The following is an 18,239-nucleotide window of genomic DNA, read 5'->3' as shown; positions in this document are numbered from 1 at the left end:
GTTTGCTAATATATAAAATAACAAATTAGGCATAATGCCCTATAATTTTCTGCTTGATTAATTGCCTGAAATTTGATCTATCAGTCAGTGTTTGATTAGAATAGAGAAATCACATGTAATTTGAACAAGGAAAGATTAATACGAAGAATTGCTAGCTATAACAGGGTTTGGAGCAATGAGGATTGGCTAGTAAAAAGTAAAGAGAACTCTAAGGAATATAAGAATAACAGATAAAAGGAGCGTCAACCCCTGGGGTTGAGATACAACATCCAGGGCCTCTGGGATTCAGATCCAGACCCTGTTTGAGGGGGCATGGCTGTGGCTCACTGAATGAAGAGAAGTTGCTGTGGTAGAAATCTGTCTCATCAGAATCACTCTGCTGTAATACTGCCTTGTGGAGGTACTGGTGGAAGATACTCGGTGCTGCTGACTGCTATGCACTTCAGGAGCCTGACAATGGAGCAAACTGCACGGGTTCTGGATCTGGACACTGGAGAAGCTGTGTTGCAGTACAGAAGCCTGCCAAGAGGAGCACACAAGACTCTTGGAAAGAAGAGGAAAATCTCCTCTTACAATGTCGATCTAAGATCATGCCAACTAGCAAAGGAAAAATGTTTAAAGGGTCCAAGTTCATTTCTGCAGAGCAGACATGAAAGGTTGAATTCAGAGCTGAGAGACAATAAGTGGACAACTGGCACATTTGGTCAAACTTGTAATTTTATATCTTAGATGGACAAATTAAACACAAGTCCATAGGTGTTTTCCTTACAAGCTTACATTTAAATTTGGGATCCTGGTCAGAATTTTGCTAAGGACTTCATTCTTTCCCAGTGTTTCAGGAAGGATACCCTGGGGCCAGAGCCACTTTTCTTTATTGTAAGGTCCTGGGCTGTGGCCCCTTTTGCTTTTCTGGGCTCCTTTCTCATGGGCATCTGTTTTGGGAGCTTCATTTCCTCATCTGCTTTGACACTTTAATCTTGGACATTGTAGTGAAATGCTTCACATTGTCACACATTCTAATCTCAGAGACCACTCCAAATCTTTTTGAATTTTCTTGGCCATTGGAATTAGTACTCTGGAATCAGTACATTAAGAATGGTTTTTTAAAAACTATCAGCTAGAATTTCCACATTTTAGAAGAAATGGTCAGTATAAATTTGGAGAAGCAGTTTCTAGCTAGTAGTAGCTGTGCAGAAAAACAGTTTTATTGATAAGTATCTGATTTGGATTTAGGATCCAGCTAGGATGAAAAATTCAATTGAGGTCTGGCCAGATAGACATAAATTTTATTTTTCCTTTATATTCTGTGTCCAAAAGACAAATTGTCATGAGTTATTATTTTTTTCCTGAAGTATCCGTTTGTTTCTCAGCTTTGGAATTAGAGGTGTAGAAAATAAACGGGACTCAACAGCCTAAGATTTTGTTTAAAAAGATGTTCTTATTTATTTATATTTAAAAATTTCTAAACTTTTTTTTTGCAAGAAACTGTATGTCAGCATTTTCATTTTTGATAGATAAATTTTATATTTGGGATTTTGATTATTAAGTTGTTTCTCCACCAGAATTCCTTATGGATTTTTGTAATAATCTGTATTTAGTGTGTTTAATTATTTGCTTTCCATTTATATTTATTTTGGGATTTCTTTTTTAAGAGAATGGCACCTGTGACAGCATACTGTTAATATTACCCTTGTATCGTACTTTACCATGCCATCTCTGAAGAATATTACAGACCATTTTGGAGCATGGTGAATAACAAATTTTTACCTTAGGAGTTCACTTGAATAGTCATTTTTATATTTGTGACTGCAAGTCACTTTTAGGGGCTGTACTTCCTTAGTACTGGTAGCATTATTATCCAATGGACTTTTAAAGCTTTCATTAGGTTTTCTTTTGTTTTTGTTCTTTAAAGAACATTTTACTTAACTTAGTATTTCATTTTTCATCTATATTATGAGGCAGTAAGAGTCTTCTGTTTTTCCAAAGTTGAGACTGCTTTATATTTATTTCATATTGTCTACAGCTGTAGTGTTCAATACATTAGCCACTAGCCACATGTGGTTATTTAAATACGATAAAATAAAAACTGGCCGGTCGTGGTGGCTCACGCCTGTAATCCCAGCACTTTGGGAGGCCGAGGCGGGCAGATCATGAGGTCAGGAGATCGAGACCATCCTTACTAAGATGGTGAAACCCCATCTCTATTAAAAATACAAAAAATTAGCCGGGCGTGGTGGCGGGCGCCTGCAGTCCCAGCTACTCAGGAGGCTGAGGCAGGAGAATGGCGTGAACCTGGGAGGCAGAGTTTGCAGTGAGCCGAGATGGTGCCACTGCACTCCAGCCTGGGGGACAGAGCGAGACTCCATCTCAAAAAAAAAAAAAAAAAATTATTAAGTTCTTTAGTTGCACTAGCCATATTTCAAATACTTGATGGATACATGTGGCTAGTGGCTAACATAATGGATAGCACAGATATAAAACATTTCCTCCTCATATAAAGTTCTATTGGATAGTGCTGGTCTGTAGCTTATAGGATGGTATCTTAGTCTCCTTCAGCTGCTAAAACAGAATACCATAAATTAGGTAGCTTAAACAGTAGGTATTTTGACCAGGCGTGGTGGCTTATGCCTGTATTCCTAACACTTTGGGAGGCCGAGGCAGGTGGATAACTTGAGCTCAGGAGTTTGAGACTAGCCTGGGCAGCATTTCAAAACCTTGTCTCTACAAAAATTAGCTGGGCATGGTGGTGCACGCCTGTAGTCTGAGCTACTTGGGAGGCTGAGGTGGGAGAATTGCTTGAACCTGGGAGGCGGAGGTTGCAGTGAGCCATGATCGCACCCCTGTACTCCAGCCTGGATGACAGAATGAGACTCTGTCTCAAAAAAAAAAAAAAAAACAAAAAACAAAAAAAAACAAGAGATATTTCTCACAGTTCTGGAGGCTGGAAGTGCAAGATCAAAGTGTTGGCAAATTACGTTTCTTAAAGAGGGTCTGCTTCCTAGATTGGAAATGGCCATCTTCTCTCAGTATCCTCACATGGTAGGGAGAAAAGCAGCTCTAGTGTCTCTTCTTATAAAGGAAGTAATGCCACCATAGGGGCTCTATTCTCATGACCTCATCTAAACCTAATTCTCTCCTAAAGGCCACGCCTCCCAATATCCTCACCTTGGGGGTTAGGGCTTTATCATATGAATTTTTTTTTTTTTTTTTTTTTTTTTTGAGACAGAGTCTCGCTCTGTCTGTCACCCAGGCTGGAGTGCAGTGGCACAATCTCGGCTCCCTACAAGCTCCGCCTCCTGGGTTCACGCCATTCTCCTGCGTCAGCCTCCTCAGTAGCTGGGACTAAGGCGCCCGCCACTGCGCCCGGCTAATTTTTTGTATTTTTAGTAGAGACGGGGTTTTACCATGTTAGCCAGGATGATCTCAATCTCCTGACCTCGTGATCCACCCGCCTCGGCCTCCCAAAGTGCTGGGATTACAGGCATGAGCCACCGCGCCCGGCCTATCATATGAATTTTGAGGGAACACAAACATGCAGTCTGTAGCAGATGGTAATAGGCTGATATATTACACTTGTTGATGTAAATCTGATAAGTTTCTTTCTCTCCAAGGACAGCTTTTTAAATATTTAACAATACCAATAATTTTTCAGGTTCTGTGAGAATTTTATAATTTATAATTTGCAAACTTAAAATAATCTATAATCTATTTTGTCCTAACAATTACAAATATATTTTTTATTTCAGATTATATATATTCCTACCAGATGGAGATAATTACAGCTTTAAAAATTTTTATTTTTTCATTTTATTTCACATATTGACATTAAATTTTTATTGACACATAATAATTGTACATATATACGGGGTACAATGTGATGTTTTAATACACGTACTCAATGTGTAATGATCAAATCAGGGTAATTTGCATAATGATTTTTCTGTAGGGAGAAAATTCAAAATCTACTCTTCTGGCTATTTTCAAATATATGATACGTTATTGTTAACTATACTCATCCTACTATGCAATAGGACACCAGAACTTATTCCTGGGTTCTACATCTGTTTATTAAGCCAACCAAGGATTGGAAATATTGGGAAAAGAAATTGCGTCTGTACTGAACATGTACAGACTTTTTTCTTCTCCTTATCCCTTACACAATATAGTACAATAACTATTTGCATGACATTTACATCGGATATTATGAGTGATCTAGAGTTGATATGAAGTATATGGGAGGATGTGCAAAGGTGATGTGCAAATACTGTGTCATTTTATATCAGGGACTTGAGTATCCTTTGTTATCCTCAGGAGATCCTGAAACTAGTCCCCCATGGATACTGAGGGCTGACTGTATAGTCCTGTCCTCACGGAACTTTCATTCTAATGAGGGAAGACTGACTATAAACAAAATATATGTAATAGGTGGTGGTAAGTACCGTGGAGAAGTAACAAATGGGGCAAAGTGAGTTATACAGCTCCATTCTTAGAAACCTTGGAGTACTTTTCTTAGTTTATACTCATGGTGGTTTCCTTTTGTCTCCTTTATTACATGGGACTCTGACATGTGCCCATAGCTAGGGTGGCAGTAGGATCTACCCGAAAAGCATCCTGCTGATACAGGACCAAAGCATCCTGTTGTTCTCAAGCCTATAAAAAGAGCTAATGGTCTTGCTTCTCTTAACTGTGGCCTCCTACACTGTGTTTTGGATGATTGGTGATGTCTTGGATATTCTGTTTCTTTGGAACTTTGAATATACAACACTTTACTAGGGAATTAGCAATGGAAGCAGAGCAAAGATGTACAGAGGAAACAATGCATAACTCTGATGGAATTGAAGTCATGAGGCAGCAGAAAGCTTAAATTGCAGCTTTAAAAATTTTTATTTTTTAGAGGGAATTTAATTGGGAGTAACAGCAGTAATAGTTAACGGAGCCAGAATGCTTGAGTCATATAATTGCAAAGCAGAGTTGGGAGCAACAGATGCTAAAGAGTAGTTGCTGTAGTTCCTCTTTGGGTCGTAGGAGCAGTTGTCATATTACCATATAGCTACTGAATGAAGAAGAGTTCTTAGTGAGGCCTGGGTGAACAGCTCTTCTTAGTATTCTGTGTGACCCCATTTGACCTTTTAACAAATCTCTAAGTAAATAAATAGCCCCTAAGGTAAACTAAGTTTTTCTCTGCTATTTTTTTGCTTGAGAGAGCTATAACTGTAATAGACTTATATTTCTGAACATTTTAGTGCTTGCCAATATTTGGTAATATTTATGTTTCCTATATTTGTAATGAACATTCTTCTCCCAGTACATTTTTTGTTAAATTATTGTTTCATGCATAAAAGTTCACCTTTTATTGTATAAAATTGACTCAGGTTAATTTATACACATTGACAATGGGTAAATAGAATTTTTCAGATTATTAAAAGCTGAAGGATGCCCATGTAAGCAAAAAAAAAAAAACCAACAAAAATAAACCCAAACCCCTCAAACAATTTCGAACACAAAACATTCTTCTCATGCCGGCATCCTTTCGTTCCGGGAGGCCTTCCGTAGAGCTGTGGGAGCTCGAGCTGGCATTTTGTTTGCGGCACGATCTGGTCCGGGAGGTCTGGGATCTCTGGTTATATCTCACTTCTGACCTCTGGGCACCTGCTGCAGCTGTGGCTGAGGCCCAGAAATGTGAAGGGCCTCCATCCACTGCATTGAGTAGTGACCCCGACGTGGGGTTCAATGTGGAGGGGGGAGGGGCTGCCGCGGCAGCTGCAGGAGCCGACGTGCCAGGCCTTGTTCTTCTCATGCCGACATCCATGCTTGCAGCTGTGAAGGCCGCAGGAATCAGCGAGGTGACCTGGGCTGAGTCCCGGGAGTGGGAAGAGGTGGCAGGAAGGGGATCTGAGGAGGAGAACAGGGGTCCTGGTGGTCTGTGCTTCTTCCCAGACACGGGAGCTGTAGAGGGGATCTCTGCAGCAGATGCAAGGGGGGCCACTAGGCCCAGGCAGTCTTGGGACTTGGGTCTGTCCTGCTGTGCATCCATAGTGGGTGCTTTAGAAACGGGAGGCTCACCAGAAGCCCCTGTTGCAAGTGAGGACAGAGTGTGGGAAGGCCATGAGGGTCTGCAGTCCAAGATGGCCTTGTCCTCAACCTGCAGCGCACTGTTGATCCGCTGGAATGCCCCCTCTTTTTCCAGGTGCAGGTCTTCAGCCGTGACCCGGTACCCCAGCTCTAAGGGAGGTGGCAGCATCAAAGGCTCCCCTCACCTGTGTGGCAGCAGGGCAATCTTGCGTCTACGGGGCCTAGAGCCCTGGGATCTGGGGGAGCCACCCCTTGGGGCGAGTGTCTGCCCTGGTGCTGTATCTGCCGCCTTTTCACACCGTGTGTGACCCGAAGAGACAGCCTGAGGCCTGTCCTCACTCACTGTCTTTGAGTAACTGAGGGTCAGCTGGCAGCGGGATGAGGCTGGCCCCCTCCTCTGCTTTAGCCCCAGCAAGCCTCCCGTGGAGCTGTAGGAGCTGGAGATGGCATTTCGTTTGGTGCTCGAGCTCGTCCAGGAGGTCTGGGATGTCTGGTTATATCTGATTTCTGAGCTCTGGGCATGGAGGTCTGTCTGCAGAGGCCCGGGCCTGGGCACAAAGGGAGAGAGGCCTCCACTGTCCCGCAGGGGCCGAACTGTAGACCGTGCATCCCCGGTGACCTCGGGGACCGTTCTCTGATCATCAGGATTTTCTTGGACTCTGGGGTCCTTGTCCTGCTCAGGCATCCCTGCCCTGCTCTTTTGCTCCGCTGGCCCCCTCCTCCACTTTAGCCCCAGCAAGCCTCCCGCAGAGCTGTAGGAGCTGGAGATGGCATTTTGGTTGGTGCATGAGCTCGTCCAGGTGGTCTGGGATGTCTGGTTATATCTGATTTCTGACCTCTGGGCATGGAGGTATGTCTGCAGATGCCCGGGACTGGGCACAAAGGGAAAGAGGACTCCATTGTCCTGCAGGGGCCAAAATGCAGACCGTGCATCCCCAGTGACCTCGGGGACTCTTCTCTGATCATCAGGATTCTCTTGGACTCTAAGGTCCTTGTCCTGCTCAGGCATCCCTGCCCCGCTCTCCTTGAGGGCCCTTAACACTATCTTCCCTGGACACAAGTCTGGGGACAGCCGGGTGTTGTGGACCCCAAAGGGGTGACTACCTGCTCCTGGGCCCCACAGAGTCCTTGTGCTCAGTGTAGTGGCTGAGCTGGGGGATGCCCTGGAACTCGGAGCAGACAGCACTGGCTTACTGTGGTACCTGTACAGTGAAATTGAAGGCAGAATCACCAGGATGGAACACAGGTTTTGCAGGATCACGGAAAACCTTCTTAGAGTTGTCTTGACACCACTGATGTCGAGTGTCCGGGTGCTTGTAGGATGGCCTGCCACTCAGTCCAGGGGCAGGAGCAACGGGGAGATCCCACAAGCAAAGTGAACTCGGGGATGGGCTGAAGGGGCTCCAGGCAACTGAGCCCTACTCGGAGGTCCTCGGCCTTGGCCCAAACAGGAATGAGGGGCACAGAGTGCCCGGGTAACCGCTCCTGGGAGCAGTGGGGAACCGTCGGATGCTTGAACTCTCGAGAGCTGGGCTCTGAGCGTCCTCGTCCAGCTGCCAACTCGGCCAAAGGCTAAGCCAGCAGATTCTTCTGTTGCCGGGCAACACGCCTTCTAAACCTGAGGGAGTGGGCGCGTGAGCACATAATGGCACCAGTGACAGAGCGACCGTAATGGATTAATAAGTGCAGCCAGGTACCCATGCAAGGCACTTGCTGGCAATGACAGGAGGCGGACGTGGGGGGTCGTGCAATAGGTACAGGAGAGAGAGACACGGGCACAAAGGTCGCGGGAGGAACAGGTGCCCACAATGGCTGCAGATCTGCCCGTGGATCACTGAAGATTCCTGCTCTCCTGCTGAGGTGGAGACTGCAGTGAGCTGAGATCGCACCATTGCACTCCAGCCTGGGCAACGAGTGCATAACTCAGTCTCCAGATAAAAAAAGAAAAAGAAAAAAAAGAGGCCGGGTGTGGTGGCTTATGCCTATAATCCTAGCACTTTGGGAGGTCGGGGTGGACGGATCACGAGATCAGGAGTTGGAGGCCAGCCTGGCCAACATAGTGAAACCCCGTCTCTAGTAAAAATACAAAATTTAGTCAGACATGGTGGGCAGGAGAGAGCACGTGCAGGGGAACTCCCATTTATAAAACCATCAGATCTCATGAGACTTATTCACTACCATGAGAACAGCATGGGGGAAACTGCCTCCATGATTCAATTATCTCCACCTGGCCCCACCCTTGACACATGGGAATTGTTACAATTCAAGATGAGATTTGGGTGGGGACAGAGCCAAACCATATAATTCTTCCCTGGCCCCTCCCAAATCTCATGTCCTCACATTTCAAAAGCAATCATGCCTTCCCCAAAGTCCCCCAAACTCTTATTTCAGCATTAACTCAAAATTCCATAGTCCAAAGTCTCATCTGAGACAAGGCAAGTCCCTTCCACCTATGAGCCTGTAAAATCAAAAGCAAGTGAGTTATTTTCTAGATACACAGGGATACAAGCATTGGGTAAATACACTCGTTTCAAATGGGAGAAATTGGCCAAAGCGAAAGAGCTACAGGCCCCATGCAAGTCCAAAACCCAGCAGGCAAATCTTAAAGCTCCAAAATGACCTCCTTTGACTCCATGTGTCACATCTAGGTGATGCAAGAAGTGGGTTCCCAGGGTCTTGGGCAGCCCCGCCCCTGTGACTTTGCAGGGTACAGCCCCCCTTCTGGCTGCATTGAGTGTCTGCAGCTTTTCCAGGCACACAGTGCAAGCTGTCAGTGGATCTACCATTCTGGGGTCTGGAGGATGGTGGCCCTTTTCTCACAGCTCTGCTTGGCAGTACCCCAGTGGGGACTCTGTGTGGGGGCTCCAACCCCATATTTCCCTTTGACACTGCCCTACCAGAGGTTATCCATGAGGGCCCCCCTTCCCCCCCGCAGCAAACTTTTGCCTGGATTTCCAGGCATTTTCATACATCTTCTGAAATCTAGGCGGAGGTTCGTGAACGTTAATTCTTGACTTCGGTGCATCTGCAGGCTTAACACCACCTAGAACCTGAAAGGCTTGGAACTTGCATCCTCTGAAGCCATGGCCTGAGGTGTACCTTGGCCCCTTTTACCTATGGCAGGAGCAGCTGGGATGCAGGGCACCAAGTTCCTAGGCTGCACACAGCAGGGGTTTCTGGACCCACAAAACCATTTTTCTTTCTAAGCCTCCTGGCCTGTGATGGGAGGGTCTGCTGTGAGGGTCTCTAACATGCCCTGGAGACGTTTGCCCCATTGTCTTGGTGATTAACATTTGGCTCCTCATTACTTATGCAAATTTCTACAACCCAGTCTCCTCAGAAAATAGATTTTTCTTTTCTGTTGCATCATCAGGCTACAAATTTTCTGAACTTTTATGCTCTGCTTCTTCTCGAATGCTTTGCTGCTTAGAAATGTCTTCTGTCAGATACCTTAAATCATCTCTCTCAAGTTCAAAGTTCCACAGATCTCTAGGGAACTCTAGAAAAAAATTCTTATTTTCACTCTTTCCCGCCTATCTTATGCCCGTTTCTAATACAGGTGGACAATGCCTGCAGTGTCTTTGCATAGTAAGAGTGACTTTACTCCATTTCCCAACAAATTCCTCATCTCCCTCTGAGACCACCTCCGCCTGGACCTTATTGTTCATATCACTGTTAACATTTTGGTCAAAGCCATTCAACAAGTCTCTAGGAAGTTCCAAACTTTCCCACATTTTCCTATCCTCTTCTGAGCCTTCCAAACTGTTCCAGCCTCTCCCTGTTACCCATTTCCAAAGTTGCTTCCACATTTTCGGGTATCTTTACAGCAGCACCCCACTCTACTGGTATCAACTTATTGTATTAATCTGTTCTCACACTGCAAATAAAGACATACCTGAGACTGGGTAATTTATAAAGGAAAGAGGTTGAATTGACTCACAGTTCTGCATGGCTGGGGAGGCCTCACAATCATGGTGGAAGGCAAGGAGGTGCAAAAGCATGTCTCACATAGTGGCAGGCAGGAGAGAGCATGTGCAGGGGAACTCCCATTTATAAAACCATCCGATCTCATGAGACTTATTCACTACCACGAGAACAGTATGGGGGGAACCATCCCCATGATTCAGTTATCTGCACCTGGCCCCACCCTTGACACGTGGGAATTATTACAATGCAAGGTGAGATTTGGGTGGGGACACATCCAAACTATATCAGTAGGTTTTGACTTCTTGCTTGATTGCTAGGTTGCATAGAGGACAAACATGGAAATTAATGAAGTAGCTTAATATCTGGCTTCAGATCTTAGACAGGATCAGAGGGCCAGCTCAAATTTGCAAGGAGGGGAGGTAGATCCCACCATTTTATGGGTGAATGGCAAAATCAAACAGAAATTATGTGGGATGGGAGATACTGATGCAGGCATCTTTGGAAACATTCTACTTAGCTAATTTTATGCTAGGCTTTAGGTCAAGAAGGAGAGAGAGAGCTGACATGCTGTGGTACACACTTATAGTCCCAGCTACTTGGAAAGGTGAGGCAGGAGGATTGCTTGATCCCAGGAGTTTGAGGTAGTGTGCGATGATCGGATGATCGTTCTTGTGAATAGCCACTAGCCACTGAACTCCAGCTTGGGCAACATTGAGACACCCTGTCTCTTAATTTAAAAAAAAAAAAAGGAGGAAAGAAAGTGGTCTCAGTTTTTAATGTAAATATTTTTAATGGGATAATGATATTTTAAGATTAATGTATATTGTATGTCAGTTAACTATAGGTCAATAATTATATAAAACTTAAGGTACGAAAAACATTTATTTTTGCTAACATATCTGTGAGTTGACTGTTCTTGGCTTGGTGAGGCTGCAAGCTGCAGATAGAGTGTAGGTATGTTTTCTGTGTGTTTGTTCCCCCTTGGATCAGTGGACTACCTGAGAATGTGTTTTTGTCACAGTGATGGAATCACAAGGAAACTCCAGTTCTGGAAGTACATTTTAAGCCATTGCTTCTATCATGTCCACTAACATTCAGTCAGCCAAAGCACATACCTTGTCCATGGCTAACGTTGATAGTATAGATAAATATACCTGATCTCTAGCAGGAGGAACTGCATTGTCTTGGGGAAAGGTTGTAGATATAGGGAGGGGTGATGAGTTGGGAACAATAATGTAGTCTGCCACAAACATATTAAAGTGTAACTGGATATGGTTGATGCAGAATTTTGAACCTTTGTTTTAATTCTGATTTTTACTCTTTTCCCCCATGTAGTGCCCTTTTGTAATACAGTAATTCTCATGATTTTTGTCTGAATTGAAATCTTCTATGAGATTAGATTGTCTACAAAAATACAGTCGATCCTCCTTGTTTTCAGCTTTTGTATTTGTGAACTCACCTACTATTTTTTGTAACCCCCAAATCAGTACTCACAGCACTTTCATAGTCATGTGTTTGCGTAGAGTGTCAAAGAATTTGAGTTTGAACAGGATGATATTCTGCCTCCTTTTTCAGCTCTCATACAATAGTCAGGTATCCTTTTTGTGGTCTACTTAATGCCATGCTTTTCCTATTTTTGTGCTGTTTGTTGGTTGTTTTGCCATGTAAATTAACCCCCAAGCATAGTGCTGAAGTGCTGCTTAGCATTCACAAGTCCAAGAAGTCTGTGATGTGCCTTACAGAGAAAATACAAGCATTAAATAAGCTCCAGGCGTGAGTGCTGTAGTGCCATTGGCTGTGAGTTTAATGTTAATGAATAAACATTGTATATTATTTATTTATTCATTCATTTAATTAATTATTATTATTTTTTTTGAGATAGAGTCTCACTCTGTTGCTCAGGCTGGAGTGCAGTGGTGCAGTCTTGGCTCACTGCAACCTCTGCCTCCTGGGTTCAAGCGATTCCCCTGCCTTAGCCTCCCAAGTAGCTAAGACTACAGGCATGCGCCACCATGCCTGGCTAATTTTTTTTTTTTTTTTTTTGTAGTTTTAGTAGAGACGGGGTTTCATCACATTGGCCAGGCTGGTCTCGAACCCCAGACCTCAAATGATCTGCCCGCCTTGGCTTCCCAAAGTGCTGGGATTACAGGCATTAGCCACTGTGCCTGGCCAACAATATATATTAAATAAGCACACATACAACAAAAGTAGGTGTTGGTAAGCTTACAAAAATGTGACCAGTAGCTTGCTGAAACCTAACTTTTTATTTGTTCATGGAACTTTCTAGACCGTAACTACACTGAATAATGAGAATCTGCTGTAATCTTTTTAGGTGCTGTAGATGAGCCATTGGATTAAATTATTACAGTATGTTTCAGACTGCTCTCTGTTGAACCCTAGTGAAATGCCTCTCAAACCCTCATAAGGATCACAATCTCATGTCCTTTTTTTTTGTTATTAAATGCCCAGTATGTGTTAGCGATTTAAACAAAATTCAAATATTTTTTTTTTTTGAGACAGAGTCTCGCTCTGTCACCTAAGCTGGAGAGTGCAATGGCATGATCTCGGCTCACTACAACCTCTGCCTCCCGGGTTCAAGTGATTCTCCTGCCTCAGCATCCTGAGTAGCTGGGATTACAGGCACCCGCCACCACGCTGGGCTAATTTTTGTATTTTTAGTAGACACGGGGTTTCACCAGGTTGTCCAGTCTGGTCTGGAACTCCTGACCTCATGCGATCTGCCTGCCTTGGCCTCCTAAAGTGCTGGGATTACAGGCATGAGCCACCATGCCCGGCGTTGACTTTTTAATAATAACCATTCTGACTGGTGTGAGATGGTATGCCATTGTGGTTTTGATTTGCATTTCTCTAATGATCAGTGATATTGAGCTTTTTTTCATATGCTTGTTGGCCACATGTGTGTCTTCTTTTGAAGTGTCTGTTTATGTCCTTTGCCCACTTTCTAATGAGATTTTTTTTTCCTTGTAAATTTGTTTAAGTTCCTTATCAGTGTTGGACATTAGATCTTTGTCACGTGCATTGTTGCAAAAATTTTCTCCCATTCTGTAGGTTGTCTGTTCACTCTGTTGATAGTTTCTTTTGCTGTGCAGAAGCTTCAAGAAGAAAGGAATCCGATTGGTTCTGTGTCTGTCTCTTTTGGTATTCTCAGACTTATGTAGTCATCCATATAGAAAGATGATTAGGAAAATAGGACAAGAATAGCAGAAATGTACATAAAAATGTAGGAAATTAAAATTAGTTACCAGCATACAAAAAACTACTATATGTTATAATTACATACTATAACTCACCCCTCCTTGCCAAATATTCTCTCTCTTTTGACTTCAAAATCATGGCTTATATGTACTTTCTCTATTTCCCAGATGCAAATATAATTAATTGACTTTATTTATCTAGGAAATGTTACTGATATCTTAATTGTAGTCATTGGCTTGAGTGACAGGTTTTGGTAATTCAACTACTATTACTTGAAAGTAGTAGATTTCATAGGATACTGTTATAAAATCTTTTTAACCTCTTTTCTGATTTCAGGAGTAATTAGTAATTGTGGTTTACTGGAAAATTCAATGAATAGGGTGTTAAAGGAAGCAATTCATTAATAATATATCTAATCTATTGGGAGACTGAGGCGGGTGGATCACCTGAGTTCAGGAGTTCGAGACCAGCCTGGCCAACATGGCAAAACTCCATCTCTACTAAAAATACAAAAATTCGCCGGGCATGGTGGTGCATTCCTGTATTCCCAGGTACTCGGAAGGCTGAGGCAGGAGAATCACCTGAACTCCAGAGGTGGAGGTTGCAGTGAGTCGGGATCGCAGCACTACACTCCAGCCTGGGTGACAGAGTGAAACTCCATCTCAAAAAAATAATAATAATAACATAAAAAATTAAATTAAAAAAAAGCGGGCCGGGCGCATTGGTTCAGGGCCGGGCACGGTGGCTCAAGCCTGTAATCCCAGCACTTTGGGAGGCTGAGGCAGGCGGATCACGAGGTCAGGAGATCAAGACCATCCTGGCTAATGTGGTGAAACCCCGTCTCTACTAACAATACAAAAATTAACTGGATGTGGTGGCAGGTGCCTGTAATCCCAGCTATTCCAGAGGCTGAGGCAGGAGAATCACTTGAACCTGGGAGGCAGAGGTTTCAGTGAGTCCAGATCATGCCACTGCACTCCAGCCTGGGCGACAGAGCGAGATTCTATCTCAAAAAAAAAAAAAAAAAAAAAAAAAAGCAACAGAAGCAAATGAGAGTGCCTGGGAGTGGTCATTGTGGGGCATTCCCGTTTGTGTGACCCAGGTCATGTCCCTCCCTAAGCCCTGGTCTCTCTTGCCTCCTGCAGGGCTGGTGAATTACCAGATCTCCATCAAGTGCAGTAACCAGTTCAAGTTGGAAGTGTGTCTTTTGAATGCAGAAAACAAAGTCGTGGACAACCAGGCTGGGACCCAGGGCCAGCTGAAGGTGCTGGGTGCCAACCTCTGGTGGCCGTACCTGATGCACGAACACCCCGCCTACCTGTACTCGTGGGAGGTAATGGTGGTTTGGGACTTGCTTAAGGGAGGTCTTTTGCCCCCATCTGGTAGCCCTGGCTTCAGCAGGAGCCCAGGACAGGTGAACGGGCAGGTGTGGTCCTCTGAGCTTTCTGATGTTTCCCACCCTTGGTGGGAGGCCCAGATTTTTTATTTATTTATTTATATTTATTTATTTATTTATTTATTTATTTATTTATTTATTTATTGTGATGATCTCACTCTGTCACCCAGGCTAGAATGCAATGGCCTGATCACAGCTCACTGCAGCTTTGAGCTGCAATCCTCCTACCTTGGCCTCCTGAGTAGCTGGGACTACAGGCACATGCCACCATGCCTGGCTAATTAAACAATTTTTTTTTGTAGGCCGGGCATGGTGGCTCACGCCTGTAATCCCAGCACTTCGGGAGGCTGACGCAGGCGGATCACTTTAGGCCAGGAGTTGGAGACCAGCCTGGCCAACATGGTGAAACCCCGTCTCTACTAAAATATGAAAATTTGCAGGGCATGATGGTGCACGTCTGTAATCCCAGCTACTCGGGAGGCTGAGGCAGGGGAATTGCTTGAACCCAGGAGGCAGGGGCTGCGGTGAATTGAGATCATGCCACTGCACTCTATCCTGGGTGACAGAGTGAGACTGTCTCAAAAAAAAATCCTTTTTATAGAGTTGGGGTCTTACTCTGTTGCCCAGGCTGGTCTTGAACTCCTGAACTCAGGTGATCCTCCTGCCTTAGCCTCCCAAAGGGTAGGGATTCCAGGCATGAGCCACCTCGTCTGGTCAAGGAGAAGGCCTGATTTTGAAGGGCAGGTCCCAGGGTCAGCCAGTGAAGGGCAGAGCCTCTGATTGCTGCTTCTCTGCAGGCCCAGAGGCGACTGCTGGGGTGCATGCACGAGGGGTCTTCCTGCTGTAGGGCAGGCCAGATGGGGCTCAGGCTGTCGGGGCGCTCACACCTGGCGCTTTGGCTGTCATAGGTGCGGCTGACTGCACAGAAGTCACTGGGGCCTTTGACTTCTACACACTCCCTGTGGGGCTCCGCACTGTGCCCGTCACCGAGAGCCAGTGGGTGAGAGCCAGTTTCATTTGCGGTAGAGGCAGCAGAGGTTGTAGAAATGCTCCTTGAGGCAGATGCCACACCCCAATTTCATGGAGTGATTTGGGCTGAGCCGAGTCTGCAGCAGGCAGAAGGCTCTGAGATGTTGTCCTAGCCAGGGCAAAGGACAATTCAGAGCTCGGGGGAATAGGGGTGTGCTCAGCATGACTGGGTGGACAGGCCCTTTGTTGTGAATCGTACAGGCTTCCAGGAGCGGGTGCCTGAGGCTTCCAGACAGGCTTTGGGAGGTGGCCAGAGGAGATGCCTGTTTCCGGGGCAGGAAATGGAGGTAGCGCCCAGGCTGGAGAGGTTCAGCCAGGCTGTCACAAGGCTTTGAAGCTTCACATCTGAGAGCCTGGCTATTGGAGAATGTGGGTTTGGAACTTGAGGCTAGGAGGTTCTGTTCTGTCCTGTGCCAGCCACAGCCTTCGGATGGGCAGAGCAATGATGGGGGGAAGATGTAAAAGAAAAGAACTGAGGAAAGAAGAAGAAAACCAGCTTCAACAACAGTCTAGGCCGGATGCGGTGGGTCACGCCTGTAATCCCAGCAGTTTGGGAGGCTGAGGTGGGTGGATCACCTGAGGTCAGGAGTTCGAGACCAGCCTAGTCAACAGGTAGTGAATCCTGTCTCTACTAAAAATACAAAAATTAGCTGGGCATGGTGGTGGACGTCTGTAATCCCAGCTACTAGGTAGGCTGAGGCAGAAGAATCGCCTCAGGTGAACCAGGAGGCAGAGATTGCAGTGAGCTGAGATAATGCCACTGCATTCCAGCCTGGGCTACAGAATGAGACTCTGTATCTCAAAACAAAACAAAACAAAACAAAAAAACACAACAGTCTGTTCTGTGGAGGCCTTGGGCAGATGCTGGGAGCTCTGAGCACGGACTGGTCCCTCTGTTGGGAGCCTCTTCCCTTCATCCCTCCTGGTTAACTTGACTCAGCATAAAGGCCATTTCTTCTAAGAGCCTGTCCCTGACTCTCCAATCCGGGATGTGTCTGTTGTCTCATAGAGTGCCCAATTCCTGCCACCACTTGTCATTTCCATTCGCAACATTTCTTTCATTGTTTGTTTTTCAGAGTCAGGGTCTCACTCTGTTGCCCAGGCTGGAGTGCAGTGGTGCAATCATAGCTCGTTGCCATCTCGACCTCCTGGGCTTAAGCGATCCTCCCCACTCAGCCTCCCAAATAGCTGCGACCATAGACATGCGCTGCCTTGCCAGGCTAAATTTTAATATTTTTTTTCCCCACGAGTCAGAGTCTTGCTCTGTCTCCCAGGCTGGAGAGCAGTGTTGTGATCTTGGCTCACTGCATCCTCTACCTCCTGGGTTCAAACAGTTCTCCTGCCTCACCCTCCCAAGTAGTTGGGATTACAGGCTCACGCCACCATGCCCAGCTAGTTTTCTTCTTTATTTTTTGTTGAGATGGGGTTTCACCATGTTGGCCAGGCTGGTCTCGAACTCTTGACCTCGTGATCCACCTGCCTTGGCCTCCCAAAGTGCTCACAGGCTTGAGCCACCATGCCCGGCCCTAATTTTTAAATTTGTTGTAGAAACAAGGTCTTGCTATGTTGCCCAGGCTGGTCTCAAGCACCTGGTCTCAAGTAAGCCTCCCAAAGTGCTGGGGTTCTAGGCGTGAGCCACCTTGCCTGGCACTTGCACCGTTTTTCTGTGCATGCATCTCCACTCCCACTGCCCAGGACCTGTGGACTTAGATTTGAGTCATTACTGAGCACCTAGCACCCAGCCCCGTGCCTACCTCCCACCTCGCACTACCTGTTTGCTTGATGCATTAATAAATATTCCACCTGAATCCACAGCCCATTCACTCCTGTGTTCAAGAGCTATTTCAGGAAGCAAACCTCATTTTTGGCAGTGTTCAGTCCAGTGACCTCAGCACTGTGTACCTGGCAGGGTGGCTACGCCTCTAGGGGAATTGGATTCAGGGGTGGGGGAGAAAGAGTGTTGTTAGAGAGCTTGGTCTAGGACTAGAGGAACGTGCCCTTATGTAAAACACATCTCAAGTTAGGGAAGAAAGCAGCGGCTCTGTGCTTTGTTTTTTTTTTTCTTTTCTTTTCTTTCTTTTTTTTTTTTTTTTTTTGTTTGTTTGTTTGTTTGTTTTGGGGCAGGGTCTTGCTCTGTGGCCCAGGCTGGAGTGCAGTAGCGTGATTTCGGCTCACTGCAACCTCCACCTCCCGGGTTCAAGCAATTCTTGTGCCTCAGCCTCCCAAGTAGCTGGAGTTACAGATGCGTGCCACTATGCCTGGCTAATTTTTGTATATTTAGTAGAAATGGGGTTTTGCCATGTTGGCCAGGCTGTTCTTGAACTCCTGACCTCAGTGATCTGCCTGCCTCAGCCTCCTGAAGTGCTGGGATTACACATGTGAGCCATCATGCCTGGCCCCCAGTTGTGTTCTGGCAGGGGAAGATGGGACAGAGAGGATGGGAGGGTGTCTGAGCCTTTCCCGGACTGACGGAACCTGTGTCTTCTCTCTTTTGTGGACAGGATGGTGATTGCTCACACCAAAGCCTTGGACCCCTCCCAGCCTGTGACCTTTGTGACCAACGTCACCTATGCAGCAGACAAGGGGGTGAGCCTGGGGG

General features: G+C 45.6%; 2 pseudogenes across 5 annotated transcripts in view, besides 1 other annotated feature; both read left to right on the top strand.

The window, feature by feature from the left end:
- LINC00680-GUSBP4 (LINC00680-GUSBP4 readthrough, transcribed pseudogene) overlaps positions 1-18,239 on the top strand; it is a 41,566-nt pseudogene that overhangs the window by 16,795 nt on the left and 6,532 nt on the right. For all 3 annotated transcript variants that reach the window (NR_132998.1, NR_003660.2, NR_132997.1), the window contains 2 exons: positions 14,361-14,548; positions 18,142-18,226. The product of NR_132998.1 is annotated as an LINC00680-GUSBP4 readthrough, transcribed pseudogene, transcript variant 3 (transcript). The remainder of the gene's footprint in view (positions 1-14,360; positions 14,549-18,141; positions 18,227-18,239) is intronic.
- Positions 6,140-7,048: an enhancer, noted in NCBI's record as "H3K27ac-H3K4me1 hESC enhancer chr6:58263882-58264790 (GRCh37/hg19 assembly coordinates)". NCBI's record gives its function as "activates a minimal SCP1, AML or CMV promoter by ChIP-STARR-seq in naive H9 embryonic stem cells {active_cell/tissue: H9 hESC(naive)}" and the evidence as "EXISTENCE:reporter gene assay evidence [ECO:0000049][PMID:30033119]".
- GUSBP4 (GUSB pseudogene 4) overlaps positions 7,723-18,239 on the top strand; it is a 28,377-nt pseudogene continuing 17,860 nt past the window's right edge. For both annotated transcript variants that reach the window (NR_132999.1, NR_133000.1), the window contains exons 1-3: positions 7,723-7,765; positions 14,361-14,548; positions 18,142-18,226. The product of NR_132999.1 is annotated as a GUSB pseudogene 4, transcript variant 1 (transcript). The remainder of the gene's footprint in view (positions 7,766-14,360; positions 14,549-18,141; positions 18,227-18,239) is intronic.

The sequence above is a fragment of the Homo sapiens genome, chromosome 6 (assembly GCF_000001405.40).
Source record: "Homo sapiens chromosome 6, GRCh38.p14 Primary Assembly".
NCBI lineage: Eukaryota > Metazoa > Chordata > Mammalia > Primates > Hominidae > Homo > Homo sapiens.
Note: the sequence above shows the minus strand (reverse complement) of the source record. Positions and strands in the feature narration are given on the sequence as shown.